Source organism: Homo sapiens, chromosome 12 (assembly GCF_000001405.40).
Source record: "Homo sapiens chromosome 12, GRCh38.p14 Primary Assembly".
Taxonomy (NCBI): Eukaryota; Metazoa; Chordata; class Mammalia; order Primates; family Hominidae; genus Homo; species Homo sapiens.
In genome coordinates, this window is record NC_000012.12 from 131,658,153 (window position 1) to 131,676,132 (window position 17,980).

A 17,980-nucleotide genomic window follows, 5' to 3' on the forward strand; every position below is an offset into this window, starting at 1 on the left:
GGCTGCTGTCTGCACATCTTAGTACATTAGCGTGGAGCTGGCAGGCAAAAATGTCACACACCTGCTGAATTCACTGTCTGGCTGATTATTAGTGAGGGGGGACATCTTTTCTTTTGCTTAACTGTTTTTTGATATTCCTTTTCTGTGAATTACCTGCTCATAATATCTGCTCATTTTTCTATCGCTCTTTCTTTCTGTTTGTTATTCATTTATGGAAGCCACTTAGAGGTTGCATGTACCAAACTGTTGACTATTAAGCATGAGGCAAACGTCGCTCCTCAATCTGACCTTCTCTTTTCACTTGTGTGTGGTGGTGGTGTTTACAGGAAGAGGTCTACAGTTCATCGCAAGGCTCTAGAGGGAATCAGGAAGTGCCAACCTGAGGTATGCCATTTTGGCAGCAGAATTCTTTTGAGCAGAAAGCATTGGAGTTCCTAAAATTCTTTATCTGCCTAAAACCAGAGCCTCCCCCAAACAACTCCATTGTCCTAAGTGTCTCCCCAGGAACAACTGTAATCTTCTCTTCTTGGAGGGGAGAAGCCCCCCCACATCCCGGCAGACATTGTCACAAAGGACCATGTCTCCCATCTGCCCTCCTGAGGGCCCATTTATCTCTCAATAAAGTCCTTTGCGTTTCCGTAAGTGCGCCTCTGCCCTCCCTACCCCCGTTAGGACGAGATGTGAGCTCCAGAATCTCACTGCTCCTCTGGTATTTGCTTATTTCTGGGACACCCTCATGCACGTTAAGTTTAAAATTCCAAATGCATGCTTTTTTCCTGTTGATTTTTTGTCTTTTTTTGAGACAGTTTCACTCTTGTTCCCCAGGCTGGAGGGCAGTGGCGCATCTCAGCTCACCGCAACCTCCACCTCCCAGATTCAAGTGATTCTCCTGCCTCAGCCTCCCAAGTAGCTGGGATTACAGGCATGTGTCACCATGCCTGGCTAATTTTGTATTTTTTAGTAGAGACAGGGTTTCTCCATGTTGGTCAGGCTGGTCTCGAACTCCCGACCTCAGGTGATCCACCCGCCTTGGCCTCCCAAATTGCTGGGATTATAGGTATGAGCTACGGTACCCAGCCAATTTCTTCCTGTTAATAACTTTCATCCGTTTAACTCACAGGCCCCCAGCCACTGAAGGTGAGAGAGTAGAGGAAAAGTTTTCCTTCCCCTACAGTTCTTTGAAATTAGTTTTCTCACTTAAACCTCCACTCTGCTCTCCCAGCAACCAGTGAAGGTTTCTGCATTAAATTTAGTTCAGGTCAAGATTGTAAAAGCAGAAACCCAGGAGGAGAAGAACGTCTGAGCAAAACAATCTTCCTAGCAGAGTTTCTGTTTTAATACATTTCCCCAGGAGATGGGTTTCAGCTGGAGGCCCTTTTAACCAAGTTGATCTTTGCCCAGAGGGTCGGGGGAGCTCCGTCCCTGCCGGGTTCTTTGAGGCTCTTCCCAGTGTGAATTAAAGGGTTGGGGCTGGAGCTTGGGAAAATCTCCTGGAGGATCCACAGAGCTGGGGGCTGCTGCCAAGGTCTGAGGTGCGGCCTCTGGAGGGGAGCCCTGCAGACCCCAGCTGCCCTGGGCTGGGCCTCCTGCTCTGGGCCGCTCTCTCTGCTGATCCGCTGGGGTCAGACCCCGGTGTGGGTGGAGCAGCCACAGGACACATGTGGGTCTCGAAGCCTCCTCTCCTGTGCTCCTGGGGAACAAGTCAGCAGCAGCCCCTGCTCTTTTCCTGCCTGGACCACCATCTTCAACAGGTGAATGCACCTCTTTAAAGCCTGGGATGGAGGATAGAGGTTTGGGGGATGGGAATGGGGAGGGGATTCCTGGAGTCCCTGGGAAGGAGGAGGAGGAGGAGGTGGCCCTGGCCTTCAGAGCCCAGTGAGGCCCCATCCCCTGTGAAGGCTGCACTCACCCTGAAGTGTGCCTGTGCCCGAGAGATTTGTTTCCACGTCAGGGTCTCATCTGGCCAACTGCAGGAGCCTCCAGGTGAGCCAGGAAACAGGAACCTGTCATGCAGGGGATTCCCCATCCCAGTTAAATACTTCCCACCCCCAAGTCCCGAGCTGGCACTGGGGCCTCCTGTCTACGTGGTGGGTGTTCTCAGGAGGGAAACCCTCCTCCACTTCCCTGCCAATCGTACACTTTTAAAAAACAAATCCACAAATTAAAACATTTTGACAAGCCGAGGAGTGGTACACCTAACGCCCAATGAATGAGAAAAGAAACGTGAAAAATTCATGCCTGATTTCACTCCGTATCACAAAAATGAATGTGTTGCTCGGGCTCATACATTTTAGAAAGGAATTTTTGCTAAAAAACAAAAATTGCAACCTTCAGAAATGTTGTCTGCTCCCACAGCTCTGAAACAAAAGCACACCCTTCTCCAAGCAGGAGAGAGCCCAGCTCTGCCCCCCGGGGACACCCAGGGCCTTCACCCCAAATAGCGGATCCTGTGGGACCCATAGCACTGGGGCCCTGGGGCACTGGGCGCTGGGCCTGCGTGGATTTCCCAGCCTTGCTGGAATTCCGTGCTTCGCAGCAAACTCCTTCATGCGGGGGAAGCCGGAGGAGAAGGCCCAGGGAAAATGGGTTGTAGACAAATGACAGGCGCCCCGTCCTGGGGGAATCAGGAAGGGGTCCTGCAGCCCCTGGTGTGGCCCTTTTCCCATGCACAGTCCGGGCCCCCCACGGCTTCTGCAGGACCCACCTCAGCTCCGGGTCCAGGCTGGGCCAGCGCTCTGTCTCCTCAACGGTGAAACGGGTTGCTCAACCCACTTGCAGGTTGTTGAAGTTCAGGCCTTATCCTCGGGCACAGTCGGTTCTGGAAGCCACAGTCTGCTGCCTGCAAATGTGCTCCTCAAATCGCCTTCCCACCCGCAGCCCCTCAGCCCACCGTGGTACCAAGTGGCCAAAGTCTACGGCCATGCCCCCCGAACGCCTACGAGCTCATCTGATCTCGGAAGCTAAGCAGGGTCGGACCCGGTTAGAACTTGGATGGGAGACCAAATGGCGCCAGCGCTGGGCTTTCTTCCTCAAACCCCACGACCACGACAGCGCGATAAACAGGGACCCTGTTGGAGGCCACGTGGGTCACAGGCCTGCACCGGACACAGCACTTCGGCGAAGGCAATGGGGATCCTGATTGGCCGCCCAGGGCCCTCCCAGAGCCAGACGCGGAAGGGGAGGGAGCTCTCCCGGGAGCCTCACGCGGGACACTGAGCACAGCCCCTCCGCGCACACGCGGTTATCGATAAACGCAGACGTGACACGTTCGTGGGTTCTGTTTCCCTGGAGGGCAGCTGGGACTGGTGTGAATTCTCCCGTCTCACCCCACAAATCCTAACGGGCACCCGCGAGCTTTCTCGTCTCGACTTTCACACGTAAATTGTGTTTTCTTTTTAAAATGACTCGTAGCGCGAGCTCCTGGCGTCCGTGCCAGGTTGGAATAGAGACGCTGTCCCGGGGGGAGAGAGGGGGACGGTTGAGAATTCTCTGGAACCCCCAGCGGCGCAGACACCCACCCGCGGCTGGACGCGCGGAGCCCGCCCTGGGCCTCCCTCCCCGGCTTCAGGTCCCCGCCTCGGCCCTGCCCACCTGGGGCTGCGCTCCCTGCAAGTCTGCGGCCCCCACGCGGCCCTCGGCCCCGGCGCGGGTCTTCTGCGGACGCCTCCAGCCAGCTCCGGGTCCCTGCGCGGAGGACGCTGATTCGTGTCGTTAAGCGGGTGAAGCGGGTGTAGACAGAGGTGCGTCCTGCCCTCCCCACCCGCTGCCCCCGCAGCAGCCACCGAGCCTCGACCGGCGGCTTCCGAATGCACGAAGTCCACGCTCCTGCCCGGGACCCTGAGTCGGGGCCTGGTCCACGCGCTGCCGCCGCCTCTAGGGCCCTGACCCCTCCCGGGCACAGCGGGCCCGTCCCCGGAGGCGATGCCGGCCCGGGTCTGCCCTGCGGTTCCCCCTCCCGCGCTGCTTCCTGCCCGCAGTAGGGGCCGCTCCTCACCGCGCAGGCCCCGCTCAGAGGAGCCCCAGAGCTGGAGAGGCCCCCGCGGCTGGAGAGGCCCCGCCGCCCCCCAGATGCCCCCGGGGCCCTGCCCGGTTCTTCCCTTCCCAGCCCCGACGCCTCTGGCTTCACCTCTTCCCTTCATTTCACGGATCCGCTTATTTCAGGGGAGCTCCAGGAGGGCAGGGATTTTGTCCGTTTCTTTCACTTTTGGATCTGCAGAGCCCAGGACAGCACCTGGCCCGTAGTAGGTGCCGCAAGAAACGCTTCTTGAAGGAAGGAAGGAACGAACCCACGAGTATTGCAGGAGGATTAAATGAAAGATCAATTCATCCCACCTCACGGTAATAGGCACCCTGTTTCCTCCCAGCCCCGAGATTGGAGAGTTTGTTTTCATCCTCCTGTTGTCTGAACACAGCACAGAGCAATCCTGAGACACAAAGCAACGTGCCTTTCAAAATTTTTAATAAACATGGAATCTTGCTATGCTGGCCAGGCTGGTCTTGAACTGCTAGCCTCAAGCGATCCTCCCTCCTTGGCCTCTCAAAATGTTGGGATTATAGGCGTGAACCACTGTAACCAGCCTCAAGACAGGCTTTCTAAGACACAAGATTCCGCGTGTCAACTGTATCCACGGAAACCATTCCTTAGTTTATTGTCACCGCCATTCCTAACTCTGATGTGAAAATCCCTGCGTTCATCAACATAACCCAGTTAGGGTCGCACTCATCACGGGGCCCCCATTGCCTCTGGCGCACCCCACGACTGACATCTGCGGGGCCTTCGCGCTAGGCTTCGAGTTTCAGCTTCCGCACCAGGCCTGCCTTTCTGCAGGGGCCAGGGTGGGGGTCGTGTGCTGATTGGGCCCTCTGAACCGCCACCGCTGCAGAGGGGCTGTTCCTTCCGTCACATCCCTTGTGCCCGAATCCACCCTGTGTCTTCTCTTTTCTCAGCAGGACATTTTAAAAGCCCAGACCCCCTCCTTACAGAGCAAATGTCCAGGCTTCGGAGGTCACTGTCACATCCCAAGAACCCCCTTCACCAGGTGCCACTCTTGAGACTGGACTGAAGCCCCCTGGAGAGGTGAGCTTGGTGGGCTCTGTAGGTTTAGGGAACTTTGAGGTTCACTGCCCTTAGGAGGGAAGCCCTCTCCGGTTCTCCGCAGTCCCCACCGTTCCCTATCGTCACCCCTGGGCACCTGCACTCCCACGGTTCTGCCTGGGCCTTGGGGGCATTTGAGCCCTGGGCCCATCCTGAGTTGGTTTGGAGGCTGGGCTGTGTGGAGCTGTGGAAGGCCCTGGGCATGCGGCCAGCTCACTGCTGGGAGCCTGGTTTTCTCACTGTCCAGCTGTGTGGCTCGGGGGCCCCCGTCTCTATGTCTCAGTGATGACAACACTGGCCGTGTGGGTCCTGGTGGGCCTTGAGTGGGTTCCTCTGCTCAGACATGAGGTGCTTAGACCTCGCCCTAGCTCTGCCCTGTGACCTTGGCAGGTCACCCGGGGTCACTTTCCCATCGGAGTGGGGGTGGGGACTGGAACCAGCCACTCCCAGGTCCCTCCTCTGAGGTTGCTCTTGGCACTGGTCCTGGGGACAGGGCTGCAGGGGACTCTGGCCTCTCTCTCCCCTCTCAGTTCCACTTGCCTTTGTCCTGCTGCCTGAGATGAGGGCATGGACAGCCGGGTACAAGACGGGACAGGCAACCTCGCAGTGGTGGTAACCCTGTGCATGAACCCTGGGCCTGGCACGTGGACCTCCTGTGACCGTCCCCACAGGCCCGTGAGGCTGAGCTTGGCACTGCCCAAGACCACACAGTCCATGCGCAGTGGAGCTGGGGTCCAGGCTGCCCACCAGGGCAGTGACTGCAATGGTGGCAGCAGGGGACAGTCACCATGGTGAGCTCAAGCCAGGCGCTGCACTGACCTTGAGGGAGGGCTCCATGCTTCCCCTTCCCACAGCTGCAGTGAGGGCTAGGAGAGCAGGGTCGGCTGCAGGCTTGAGTCCTGGGGTGCCTCTGGGCTGACGGGCCCTGCCTGACCTGCTCCTCCAGTGCCCCAGCCCTGCCCCACCCACGTCCCCTCCTCTCACTGCCCCCTGGCCCACTCCGCTGCGGTCTCAGTGCCTTCCCAGGCTGGGCATCATCTGATGGGAGGAAAATGAGGGCCCCAGACTCTGTGTCATCCTGGCAGGACCCCTCCCCTCCCATGGCTTTGAGCCCATGAGATGGCCTTGGACAAAGCGGCAATGGGCCCTTCCTGAGACACAGTGCGGCCATCTACTGGGAAACTGCCCAGTGTGACTCTGATGACTGTGATGTGAATCCCACAGCAAAGTTGAGCAGTGCGCAACCTGGGCTACTGCACCTGGCAGCCCTGGCTCCTCCTCCTCTGCCTCTTCCTGCTCCTTCATTCTCCCCCAGAGCTCTAATTGTCACTGAGATTTTATGTTTCGTTTAACAAATGACTGTCTCCCCGCTTGAACAGAACCTCCATGGGGGGAGGGAAGAGTGTCTGTTGTATAAATAGTTGTATTTCAGTGCATAAAACAGTGCCTGCCTCAAAGGGAGGACTCAGTCAATATCTGTTGAATGAATGAATGATTGCCTGGGTCAACGAATGAATGGCTGAATGAATGATTTCTCCTTTCCCTCGGCACTGTCTGGAGTCCCCAGGACAGGCATGGGCAGCAGTCGCTGGTCTGTGGCCTGTCCCACTGGACTTGGGGTTCTCATGCTTGGTCTGGGCGGAGATCACCCACCAGGCTCCCAGGTCGATCCTCTGCTCATGGGAAGCTGCGTCCGGCCCAGCTGCCAGGAGCTCACTGCAGGGTGGAGGGAAGAGCAGGGACGATCTGCGAGCGCCTGAACACCACACAAGAGCCGAGGAGCCGCTGCTTAAAATGCAGGCGTTGAGAGGAGTTTCGCCTCCTTTTTTGACTTGAATATGAGATTTCCGAGCAGCCATGACGAGTTGGGTTGGTGGAAGTGGGGAGTCCGTTCCTCAGTCAGATGGAGGGGGTCCCCTTGGATCTCCTCTCGGGGCTTGAACCCTGATACTTCAAGGTCTCTTCCCACCTGCCCTTGGTGGATCTGGAAAGCTCCTGGGAACAGGGTGGGTCTTCCTTGTTTTAAAGGTTGTAAGTTGAGAGCACCTCACATAACTGCCTGGGGCGGCTCTGACGGGCCTCAGTCTGCTTGTGATGTCACACAGGAAGCCCCTGGGGACTGGGCCGCTCAAGTCCTCCTGGGTCAGACCAGATCACTGGGCCTGTGGGTTCCGCAGTGAGTCCAGCATCGTTTCCTGTGCAGTGACCCAGGCCGGGTCCCCGTGGGCTCTGACTAGGGGACAGTGGGACTCGGGGTTGGGGGGCCTGCTTGAGTCATGGCTTCACTGTCCACTGTGACTGGGGACCCCCAGGGGGATTTCTGGGGACGCATTCACCTACTGCACTGGGGTTTCTCTTTCAGAACCACAACACCCTGGAAGGCAAGAAATAGGGAGCTGCATCCGCATCCACAGGGTCCCACCAGCCCGGAACATCCCCGCTGGCCTGGAATCCCACCCCACACACCCCGCTGATCCTGGGCCCGTCCCTGTGACCAGGAGACGGAGTCCAGGGACTCCCCAGGCCTGGGCCACGCGACTGCCCTAAGAGCCTGGCATCAGGGAGCGGTGCTGTGTGTACCCCCAGGTCCACTGAGAGTAGGGAGGGGGCTTCCCCACGGGTAGGTGGGGATGGAGGGTGGTCCGAAGATCAGGAGACGGAGCCCCGCCCCGCTTCGCAGGTGAGCAACAAAAGCTCTGAACGGTCAACTGAACTACTTAGGGCGACTGGCGGGAATCCAACCAGGTCTGCCTGACTGTGTCTGCCTGTGTGTCTCTGCTGTCTCTCCATCTATCTGTCTGTCTGTCTGCCTGTCCATGTGTGTCTGTCTGTCATCTGTCTGCCTATCTGCCTGTCTGTGTGTCTGTCTGTCCATCTGTGTGTCTGCCTGTCCATCTATCCATCTGTTGTCCATCTCTCCATCTGTCTGTCTGCCTGTCTGTCTGCACAGCCCCTGACCTCACACTCAGGCTGCGTTTGCAGCAGCCGTTTCCCATCTAAGCATCCGTGTCCTCCTTGCTGAGTTGGAGGTAGGAAGTCACATTGAAATTCTGTGTGTGTGTGAAGGTAAATGAAATTATAGACACAGGAGGAGCAGACCGTCTGCTTCTTAGAGATAATGAAATGACTTCTGGCCATGAGCAAAGTGGACACTCTGTCTCCAGGGTCAGCAACCCACCTGCTGGGCCCCAGTCCCTTCTGTGTCCTGGGGTGTGAGGCTCCCAGGAGGCCATGCTTGGTAGAAAAGGGTCCTATGAGTGGGCCAGGGCAGCCAGGAAGCCAGAGCCACCCAGGGAGTGCCATGGGGGCCACTTAATCATGGAACTCGCCACAGAGGGGCTGGAGGAGCTGCAGAAGAAATGGTGGGGCGGTGACCCTGAGTTAGGCATCAGCAGGAAGCCACTGCCATCCGGGGCTGCAGGGGCCGGGAAGGGTGAGCACAGCCAGGGCCTGGGTGGCCAAGTCCAGGGCACCAGGCACAAGCATCCCTGTCCTCTCCCTGTGGAGCCACAATGGCTGTGCTTAGTTCCTCCAGCAAAGTGACGTGACGGCACAGTGAGACGTCGCCCACCAGGGAAGCCCACGGAGACTCAGCGCCCAGCGACTAGGGGGCTGGTCACGGGGGCACCTCTGCTTGGCGCGCACAGACATTCCAGGACCCCAGAAGGAAACGGGCTCAGGATACCACGTGGTTTCCACAGGAGTTTAGACACAGGAGCTCCTCGCTATTGAGGGAGGTTGTGTGTCTCCACAGGGAACTGCTGCAGCCAGATTCCAAGACACCAGCCAAGGGCACCCTCACCAGCAGGCCTTTCCCAGGACCACCGTCTCAGGCCCGCCAGGTCACTCTTTCTGGGCACTTTCTCAGGAGGTTGCTCCAGGGCAGGATGGAAGCACAGAGAGTCCGGGGTTGTCACATTATGCTGGCTGAGTGTTTAGACCTCTAGAGAGGAGAGCACAAAAGCGGAACAGGAAGCCCAGAACTCCCTCCCGGCAGAAACACCAACTCACAACAGCAAGGCCCAGAAGCCTTTCTGAGGCAGCTACAAAGTTCTGCGAATTGATACCAAGTGTAAGAAGGTGTAATCTGTGACACTGAGGACATAAAGCGGGGGGTTGTAGAAAGGATAGAGGTTTTGCATGCAGTTGGAGTTGTTACCAGCTTAAGGTCGATTGTTATGAGATGTTTTATGCAGTCCCCATAGTAACCACAAAGAAAATACCAACAGAAGAGCTGCTTCAAGATGAAGCTGAACATCTTCCCAGCCGCTAGCTGCCAAAAGCTCATTGAAGTGGACGATGAACGCAAACTTCGTAGTTTGTATGAGATGCCTGTGGCCACAGAAGTTGCTGCTGATGCTCTCGTGAAGCATGGAAGGGTTCTGTGGTCTGGATCAGTGGTGGGAAAGACAAACAAGCCTTCCCATGAAGCAGGGTGACCCGACCCATGGCCATGTCCACCTGCTACCGAGTAAGCGGCATTCCTGCCATAGACCAAGGAGAACTGGAGAAAGACAGTGAAAACCTGTTCGCCGTTGCATATTGTGGATGCCAATCTCAGCGTCCTCAACTTGGTTATTGTTAAAAAAAAAAAAAAAAAAAGTAGGAGAGAAGGATATTCCTGGACTGACTGATACTATGGCGCCTCGCTGCCTGGGGCCCAGAAGAGCTAGCAGAATCCGCAGACTTTTCTATGTCTCTAAAGAAGATGATGTCTGGAAATATGTTGAAAGCCCTTAAACAAAGAATGTAAGAAACTGAGGACCAAAGCACCCAAGACTCAGTGTCTTGTTACTCCACGTGTCCTGCAACACAAATGCTGGCATCTTGCTCTGAAGAAAACAGTGCACTACGAAAAATAAAGCAGAGGCTGCAGAGTAGGCTACACGCTGGCCATGAGAATGAAAGAGGCCAAAGAAAAACATCAGGAACAGACTGCCAGGAAATGCAGACCCTCCAGCGGTGAGCTTCTACTTCTAAGTCTGCATCCAGACAAAAGTAAGATTTTTTGAGTAGCAAATAAGATCAGACCCTTCCAAAAGAAAATACTTGTAGAAGATGCAGAAAAGAAAATGAGAAAGAAATCAAAGCAGCTCAATACAAAAAACAAAAAACAAAAACAAAGAAACACAAAGAAAGGCAGCAAGAGAGGAAAAGAGGAACAAATAATTATAAGACAAACACAAAACAACAAAATAGCAACAGTAAGTCCGTCCCATCAGTCATTAACTTAAACATAAATGGGTGAAACTCCCCAATCAAAAGACATGGAGTGACTGAATGGATAATAAGATGCAGCTATATGCTATCTACAAGACACTTTATATTTTTTTATTTGTACAAATTCATAGGGCACATGTGAAATGTTGTTATACATATATAATGCATAGTGATCAAGTCAGGGTATAGGGTGTTCACCACCCAAGTACAATATACTTTTGTTAACTATGTTCACCCTACTCTGCTATCAAATATTGAATTTATTTTTTCTATCTTACTGTTTTTTGTACCCTTCAACCAACTTTTCTTCATCCTTCCCCTATCCCCACTCACCCTTCCCAGTCTCTGTTTTCCGTCTTTCCACTCTCTACCTCCATATCACTTTAGATATAAGGACATACACAGGTTCAAAATGAGAGGATGGAAAAAGATACTCCATGCAAATGGTAAACAAAAGAGAGCAGAGGTGGCCACACTCATGTCAGACAAAATAGACAAGTCAAAAACTGTCACAGGAGACAAAAAGGACTTCATACAATGATGAAAAGATAAATTTACTGGGAAGATATAGCAATGATAAACACATATGGACCTATTGACAAAGCACACTAATATGTAAAACAAACTGACGGAACTGAAGGGAGAAACGCACAGAAATGCAGCAGGAGGTCTGAATACCCCATTTCCAATAATGGATAGATCAGCCAGACAGAAAAACAGGGTGAGAGAAGACTTGAGCAACAGCATAGATCAATTGGGCCTGACGGACACACACAGGACACTCTCCAGCAACAGCAGAACACACATTCTTCCTAAGCACACATGGAACATTCTCCAGGAAAGATCATATGTTAGGCCACAAAATAAATCATAATAAATTTAAGAAGACTGAAATGATGCTTAGTATCTTTTCCAACAACGGGATGAAACTAGAAGTTAACAGCAAAAGGAAAATTGGAAAATCCTACAAATATGTGGAAAATAAACCACATTCTTGAATAATCAATGGGTAAAAGAAGAAACACAAAGGAACTAGAAAATACCTTGAGGCAAATGAAAATAAAAACACAACATACCAAAGTTATACATTAGGTAAAAACATACAGTACTAAGCAAAAGCAGTACTAGAGGGATGCTTACCATGGTAAATGCCAACCTTAAAAAGAGAAAAAAAATACCTCGAATCGACAACCTAACTTTACACCTCACAGAACTAGACAAAAAGCAAATTGAATCCAAAGTTAACATAAAAAAGAAATAATAAAGATCAGTGCCAAAATAAAATAGAGAATAGAAAAACAATAGAAAAAAAAGACTAAGCTGTTTTTTGAAAAGATCAATAAAATCAAAAACATTTATTAGACTAAAAAAAGAAAAAATATTCAAATAACAAAAGTCAGGAATAAAAGAGGACATGTTACAACTGATGCTACAGAAATAAAAAGGATCATAAGAAACTAGCATGAACAATTATATGCCAACAAATTGGATAACCTGGAAAAAAAATAGATAAATTTCCAGAAACATCCAACCTACCAAGACAGAACCATGAAGAAATAAAAAATCTGAACCAACCTATAACTTGTAAGGAAATTGAATTAATAATCAAAAACATCCCAAAGAAGAAAAGCCCAGGACCAGATGACTTCATGGAGAATTCTACCAAACATTTAAAGAAGAACCAACAGCAATCCTTCTCAAACTCTTCCAAAAAATTGAAGAGGGAACACCTCCAAACTCATTCTATGAGGCCAGTATTACCCTTATACAAAAATCAAAGATACTACACAAAGAGAAAATTACAACACCAAATCTCTGATGAATATTCATGCAAAAATCCTAAATAAAATGCTAACAAACACAATTTAATAACAAATTAGAAGGATTACACATCAGCCAGGCACGGTGGCTCACACCTGTAATGCCAGCACTTTGGGAGGCCGAGGCGGTCGGATCACGAGGTCAGGCGATTGAGACCATCCTGGCTAACACGGTGAAACCCCGTATCTACTAAAAATACAAAAATTAGCCAAGCGTGGTGGCTGGCACCTGTAGTCCCAGCTACTCGGGAGGCTGAGGCAGGAGAATCGCTTGAACCCAGGAGGCAGGGGTTGCAGTGAGCCGAGATCGTGGGGCCACTGCACTCCAGCCTGGGGGACAGAGCAAGACTCCATCTCAAAAAAAAAAAAAGAATAAACTAATTCAACAAAGTTGCCAGATACAAAATCAACATGCAAAACTCAGTGTCATCTCAATACACTAACAATGAACAATCTCCAAAGGAAACTAAGAAAACAATCCCATTACAACACCATCAAAAGAAGAAAATTCTCAGGAAAAAGCTTAACCAAGAGGCAAAATACTTGTACACTGAAAACTACAAAACGCTGTTGGAAAAAGTTAAAGAAAACACAAATCAATGGAAAGATATGCCATGTTCATGGATTGGAAGACTTGGTAGCATTAAAATGTCCATACTACCCAATGTGATCCACAGATTCAATGCAATCCCTATAAATGTCCCAGTGGGACTTCTTGCAGAAATAGAAAAATTAGAAAGCATCCTAAAATTCATATGGAATCTTGAAGAACCCTGAATAACTAAAACAATCTGGTGAAAGAAAACCGAAGATGTGTTACAAAGCTACAGTAATCAAAACAGTATGCATAAAGACAGGCATACAGACCAATGGAACAGAATAGAGAACCCAGAAATAAGCCCTCACAGGTATGGTCAAATGAACACTGTGGTGTTCTTCAAAAAATCCCTATGACCCAGCAATCCCACTTCTGGGTATTTATCCAGAAGAACTGATCACAGGGTCTCACAGAGATATCTGCATACCCTCGTTCACTGCAACCTTGCTCACCGTAACCAAGAGGTGGAAGCAGCCTAAATGTCCTTTGAAGGGGGAGTGGCTAGAGAAAGCGTGGGATTGTACACAGCAGAATCCTCTTCAGCCTTCGGGAGGAAGAAAATCCTGCCAGGTGCTACGCCGTGGATGAATCCTGAGGTTATTATGTTAAGGCAATAAGCCAGTCACAAAAAGATGCACACAAGATGATTCCACTCATGTGAGATTCCTAGAACAGTCAAACTCTTAGAGACAGAAAGAATGGCTGTTGCTGTTGCCAGGGACAGTGCGGAGGGGGAAGACGAGTTGCTTAATGGATAGATTCCATTTTGCAAGATGAAAAAGTTCTAGAGATCTCGTGTGGTTAACACTGCTATATATACACTTAGAAAAAAAGGTGAAGATGATAAATTTTATGTTATGTGTCCTTTATTACAACAATAACAAAAAAAAAAGCAACCTCCAGAGAAGAAAGTCAGGCAGGAAAGAGGGAGCCGAATCCCATGGCCTGGGAAGATGTCCTGGTGGAGAGGCCCTGCCCCAACCCTGGAATCTCAGCTCTATGGGCCCTGGAATCCCCCATGACCACCTGAGCCCTGGGGGGGCGGCTCCATCACTGTCACCCAAGGTCTTTAGGATGCACTCGGCCACTCAGACCCTACAAGGGAGCCCAGCCCGGACCTTCCACCGGCAAACCCAGTTCCCCTGCTGCCTCCAGCCCTGGCCTCACAGGACCCCAAAGGGCCCCTCCCGTGTGGATCAAGAGGCCAGCATCTGAGGCTGGTCATGTCATCAATCACTGCTGCAGAGACAGGAGGTGCTGACGAGGGCCATGTGCAAAGACAGAAGAGCTGACGAGGGCCACTGGGGCCCAGCCTTCCCTTCTCATTAGAGGCCTAATGAGCCGCACACCTTCAGATTCCATTTCAGTGAATTATCAACACCTAATCTGAGGGAATAATGGGCAAGACCACCTGCCACACAGTGATTAGATAAACACGCTGAGAGACAGGATGGAAAGAACTCTGCACCAGTGCAGTCCCCAGAGCTGGGATGGCATCAGAAATGGTGAGAACGGCAGTGGAAATCCTGCCCCTGCCCCACAGGTGCTGGGTGTGGCGTGGAAAGTGGGGGACAGGAGGGTGAGCATCCTAAACACCTTGTCCCTTCCCTGCTCAAAGCCTCTAAGGTTTCCCTACATATTCAGAACAAAACCTGGGTCTAAGCCTGGGACACAGAGGTATGCACAGGCCCTGCAAGTTCGGCCACTCTGACGTCCTGAATTGATGTCCCACGCCCCCCTCCAGCAGGTGTCCCTGCTGTGCCTGGAACACATCAAGTTCCCCTGACCTCAGGGCCTTTGCACCCCCATTCCCACTGCTAGGAAGGCCCTGCTCCGAGTGCTCACACGGCTCCCTCACTTCATCGGGCGTCTGTCCAAATGTCACATCCACATCCCCGCTCTGAGCGAGAGGTCACTTTACAGAGAGGAACGGAGGATGGAGGGCGGGCACCTGGCTCCTCGCCTCAGCCTCTCCTCCTCGCTGGCTTCAGGCCACAGCCCGGTCTGAGCTGTCAGCATCCCCCCACCACATGCCAGCCCCCAGATCCTGGGTCTCAGTGAGTCACAGATGCTGTCCTTGCTTTAGATGTAGGGGTCACTTGTGGGGAAAGACTGATTTTAATCATGAGGATCATGTTGGGAGAGGCTCACAGTGTGCTGCATGTGGACACCAGGATGAAGGAGGAGGAGGAGGAGGGGCAGACCCGGGGCCCGTCTCGTGTTCACTCCTGTCAGGGGCTCCCGGGCAGCGTGTGGATGAAGCAGGAGGATGAAGGGCAGACCTGGGACCCGTCTCATGTTCACTCCTGTCAGGGGCTCCTGGGCAGCGTGTGGACGCCAAGATGGAGGAGGAGGAGGAGCAGACCCCAGGCCCCTCTCGCGTTCACTCCTGTCAGGGGCTCCCCAGCCGGAGTGGGGGCAGTGGGTGCTGGGGCTGACCGGTCATGAAACACAGCTGTTGTCATAAATTAAATCCTGTAAACTTACAATGGAATAAATTATGTGAAAACGAAGGGAATAAACTCTCACAGTGTCCCTGTGATGACTTCACTACATTCTACCATGGTCTCCGCCCTCAGGGTTCCTTGCATCTGTGGTGTCTACGTGGTGGAAACGGTGGTGCCAGGCTGCACGTCTCTCCCCAGCTCCGTCCAGAGACCTCCAATGACAGCTTGAACCAGCCACGGCGAGAATACTTAAACAGTGGCAGTCATCAAACAGTGCAAATGAGGGCCTCATTTATTCTTTTGTTGAGTTCCTATTCTTAAGAAAGTGCAGATTCAGATTAAACGTGTTGTGTCAGTAGCCAACACACTGTGAGTGGCACAAAAAAATGAGGAAATGTTCTTCCAGTACAGGAAAACCATGAACCAGTTCCTTTTTTTTCTTTTCTTTTTTTCCTTTTTTTTTTTTTTGGAGAGAGAGTCTCGCTCTGTTGCCCAGGCTCAAGTGTGCCGCGGTGCAATCTCAGCTCATTGCAGCCTCAACCTCCTGGGCTCAAGCAATCCTCCTGCCTCAGCCTCCTGAGTAGGTGGGACTACAGGCACACGTCACCACACCCAGCTAATTTTTTTAATATGTTTTGTAGAGACAGATGAGATTTTTCAGGGTGACTCACACTCCTGGCATCATGCAGTTCTCCCACTACAGCCTCCTGAAGTGCTGGGATTACTAGCGTGAGCCAGTGCACCTGGCCTGAAAATGATTTTCTGATTAAGTGAGGAAGCTGCCCAGTTTGCTGATAAACACGTGGGGCTCCAGTGTCCACTTCTGTCTGACCTGCGCCAATGCCTGTGACATCCTCTCACTTAGGTCAGTGTCATGAAAATACAGCCCACACGCACGTCAGAACTGCACGCATTTGTCAGTCCTGCGAGTCTCTTGCTGAATCTGACAGTGACGACGTTTACTCATTGTCTATTTTTGCCAAATCTTGCTTGATTTGCAGCCATAGTGTGTCAGCCTGGGTTCCATCAGGAGAGAGAAACCCCACAGTGATTTGAACAGGGCAGGTTTTATTTAAAGGTTTGTTCAATTTAACAGAGGACTGCCGTAATGAGGAGTTGAGGATTAAGGAGTACAGAGAACTGCAAAGAACATGAGAGAAGCTCATACAGGCGCCAGCACTGAAGAAGCCACCAGCCCAGCACCACCCTACAAGGGGGCCCAGCCCTGACCTTCTAGCCCAGCCCACTGGAGCTGGCTTAGCCGCACCTTTTCTCCTGCCAGGCCTCCTCGGCACCCTCTGCTCACTGTGCTCAACACTGCACTGGCTGACATGGGAGAGATGCTGCTGGGCCCAGATGCATTTCCACCGAGCAGACAACGCAGGGCAGCTTTGGAACCCAGAGGCAATAAATCAATAGCCAGCACCCAGAAGTCAACTATGAATAGAATAGTTCAGTAAGAATCAGTGAGAACATCCTGCAACAACTGGTTGCAATATGGAATCCACAATAAAGGGCATGGTATATTCCACTATTCAAAATCTGGGTGCTGCTGAGCCTTTGTATCAGTAAGAATGAAAATCTGTGCACAGGTGCGTGAGTATACACACACACCAAGAGATCCCATTGTTCCGCCTCTGCCAGCACACCACTGGTTATGGGGGGAGGTTTCCACACATGTCTGCCATCTTCCTTCTCCCCTCTCCTCCAGCCCCTTCTTTTCTCCCCGTGATTTCTTTGCAGAAGGACGGGGCTGTGCCATTTGTCCTGTGAGTCCCGTGTCCAGATGGTGCTGATCACATCCCCAGGCGTCCTTGGAGATGCTGCTCCCTTCCCTGCATTTCATGTAAGTTCTGGGGTTAGAACCAGCAGCTTGATTTGATGACATTTCCCTGTAGTTTGCTAGGAAGGTGTGTCATTCATCAGGGACACAGAGCACCCAGGACCCTCACTCCCAGGGTCGATGAAACAATCTGGTTCTGTGTGAAGAGCCCATTGTTGGTCCCCCATCCTCGGGCCTGGGCACGTCCCACAGAGCAGAGAGGACGGGGCCTCCCCTGGGCTCTGACGTCCAAGGAGAGAGGACGGGGCCTCCCCTGGGCTCTGACATCCGAGGAGAGAGGACGGGGCCTCCCCTGGGTTCAGGCATCCGAGGAGAGAGGATGGGGCCTCCCCTGGGCTCTGACGTCCAGGAGGGGCTCCCACCCCGAGATGCCTCTGATCCCTTCCAGAGGGAGGGGTGAGTAGATGCGGAATAACGGCCTGGGCTCTGTTTCCACTTTGAGTTCCTGACGAAGGGTCTCTGCACCCCCTAAGCTCTAACTTAACTGGTCCCTCCTAACTTTCCCTTGAGGAACAGTAAGTCAGTGACCCAAGCACATTCTGTTTCTAGTGGTGAGTGGAGGGTCCTGCAAGGTGCTGATGAGTCCCTCAGCGAGGCAGGTGTGGGCTGGATTTGCAGGGGCAAGAGCTTTTCCCTCACAATCCATGGAGGCTGAGTCCACGGTGGCCATCCAGCCCCTTGCCCCTGCAGGGAGCCAGGCCCCGAGGCTGATTCCTGCTGACCCCTGACTAGAAGACTCTCAGCCTGTGGTCTCCACCTGATCCTTCTGGAGGAAACCCTGGAGCTCTGGTTTCCAGTTCAAGCACCCCGTCCTCACCCCACATGCATCCTTTCCCACATCTGTCCCACGGGGGATTTTGATGCCTCTCCTCTCTAATGCCACCAGCCTCAGTGACCAATCGTCCACCCCCATGGGTGCAGGGGACACTGGATCCCTGGTGTCACAGGAGCTTCTCA

General features: G+C 52.4%; 1 protein-coding gene, 2 long non-coding RNA genes and 2 pseudogenes across 4 annotated transcripts, besides 3 other annotated features; 3 read left to right on the forward strand and 2 right to left on the reverse strand.

The window, feature by feature from the left end:
- Positions 1–1,320: 1,320 nt before the first annotated feature.
- LOC105370086 (uncharacterized) lies at positions 1,321–3,496 on the reverse strand. Of its 2 annotated transcripts, none has more exons than XR_945571.3 (3): positions 2,705–3,496; positions 1,910–1,977; positions 1,321–1,772 (listed from the first exon to the last, which is right to left on the reverse strand). It is a non-coding gene; the product is annotated as an uncharacterized LOC105370086 (long non-coding RNA). The 2 variants fall into 2 exon arrangements; XR_945568.3 differs by having other exon boundaries at positions 1,910–2,003.
- Positions 2,812–3,525: an enhancer, noted in NCBI's record as "H3K4me1 hESC enhancer chr12:132145509-132146222 (GRCh37/hg19 assembly coordinates)". NCBI's record gives its function as "activates a minimal SCP1, AML or CMV promoter by ChIP-STARR-seq in naive H9 embryonic stem cells {active_cell/tissue: H9 hESC(naive)}" and the evidence as "EXISTENCE:reporter gene assay evidence [ECO:0000049][PMID:30033119]".
- RNA5SP377 (RNA, 5S ribosomal pseudogene 377) lies at positions 2,911–3,007 on the forward strand (annotated as a pseudogene).
- Positions 3,526–4,237: an enhancer, noted in NCBI's record as "H3K4me1 hESC enhancer chr12:132146223-132146934 (GRCh37/hg19 assembly coordinates)". NCBI's record gives its function as "activates a minimal SCP1, AML or CMV promoter by ChIP-STARR-seq in naive H9 embryonic stem cells {active_cell/tissue: H9 hESC(naive)}" and the evidence as "EXISTENCE:reporter gene assay evidence [ECO:0000049][PMID:30033119]".
- LOC100996701 (uncharacterized) lies at positions 5,622–6,396 on the reverse strand. The gene has a single exon (XM_011539090.2). The coding sequence runs from the start codon at positions 6,264–6,266 to the stop codon at positions 5,622–5,624; it is 645 nt and encodes a 214-aa protein (XP_011537392.1). The 5' UTR covers positions 6,267–6,396.
- RPS6P21 (ribosomal protein S6 pseudogene 21) lies at positions 9,328–10,129 on the forward strand (annotated as a pseudogene).
- Positions 12,835–15,246, forward strand: LOC124903057 (uncharacterized). Its single transcript, XR_007063535.1, has 2 exons — positions 12,835–14,238; positions 14,820–15,246. It is a non-coding gene; the product is annotated as an uncharacterized LOC124903057 (long non-coding RNA).
- Positions 13,916–14,415: an enhancer, noted in NCBI's record as "H3K4me1 hESC enhancer chr12:132156613-132157112 (GRCh37/hg19 assembly coordinates)". NCBI's record gives its function as "activates a minimal SCP1, AML or CMV promoter by ChIP-STARR-seq in primed H9 embryonic stem cells {active_cell/tissue: H9 hESC(primed)}" and the evidence as "EXISTENCE:reporter gene assay evidence [ECO:0000049][PMID:30033119]".
- Positions 15,247–17,980: the final 2,734 nt, after the last annotated feature.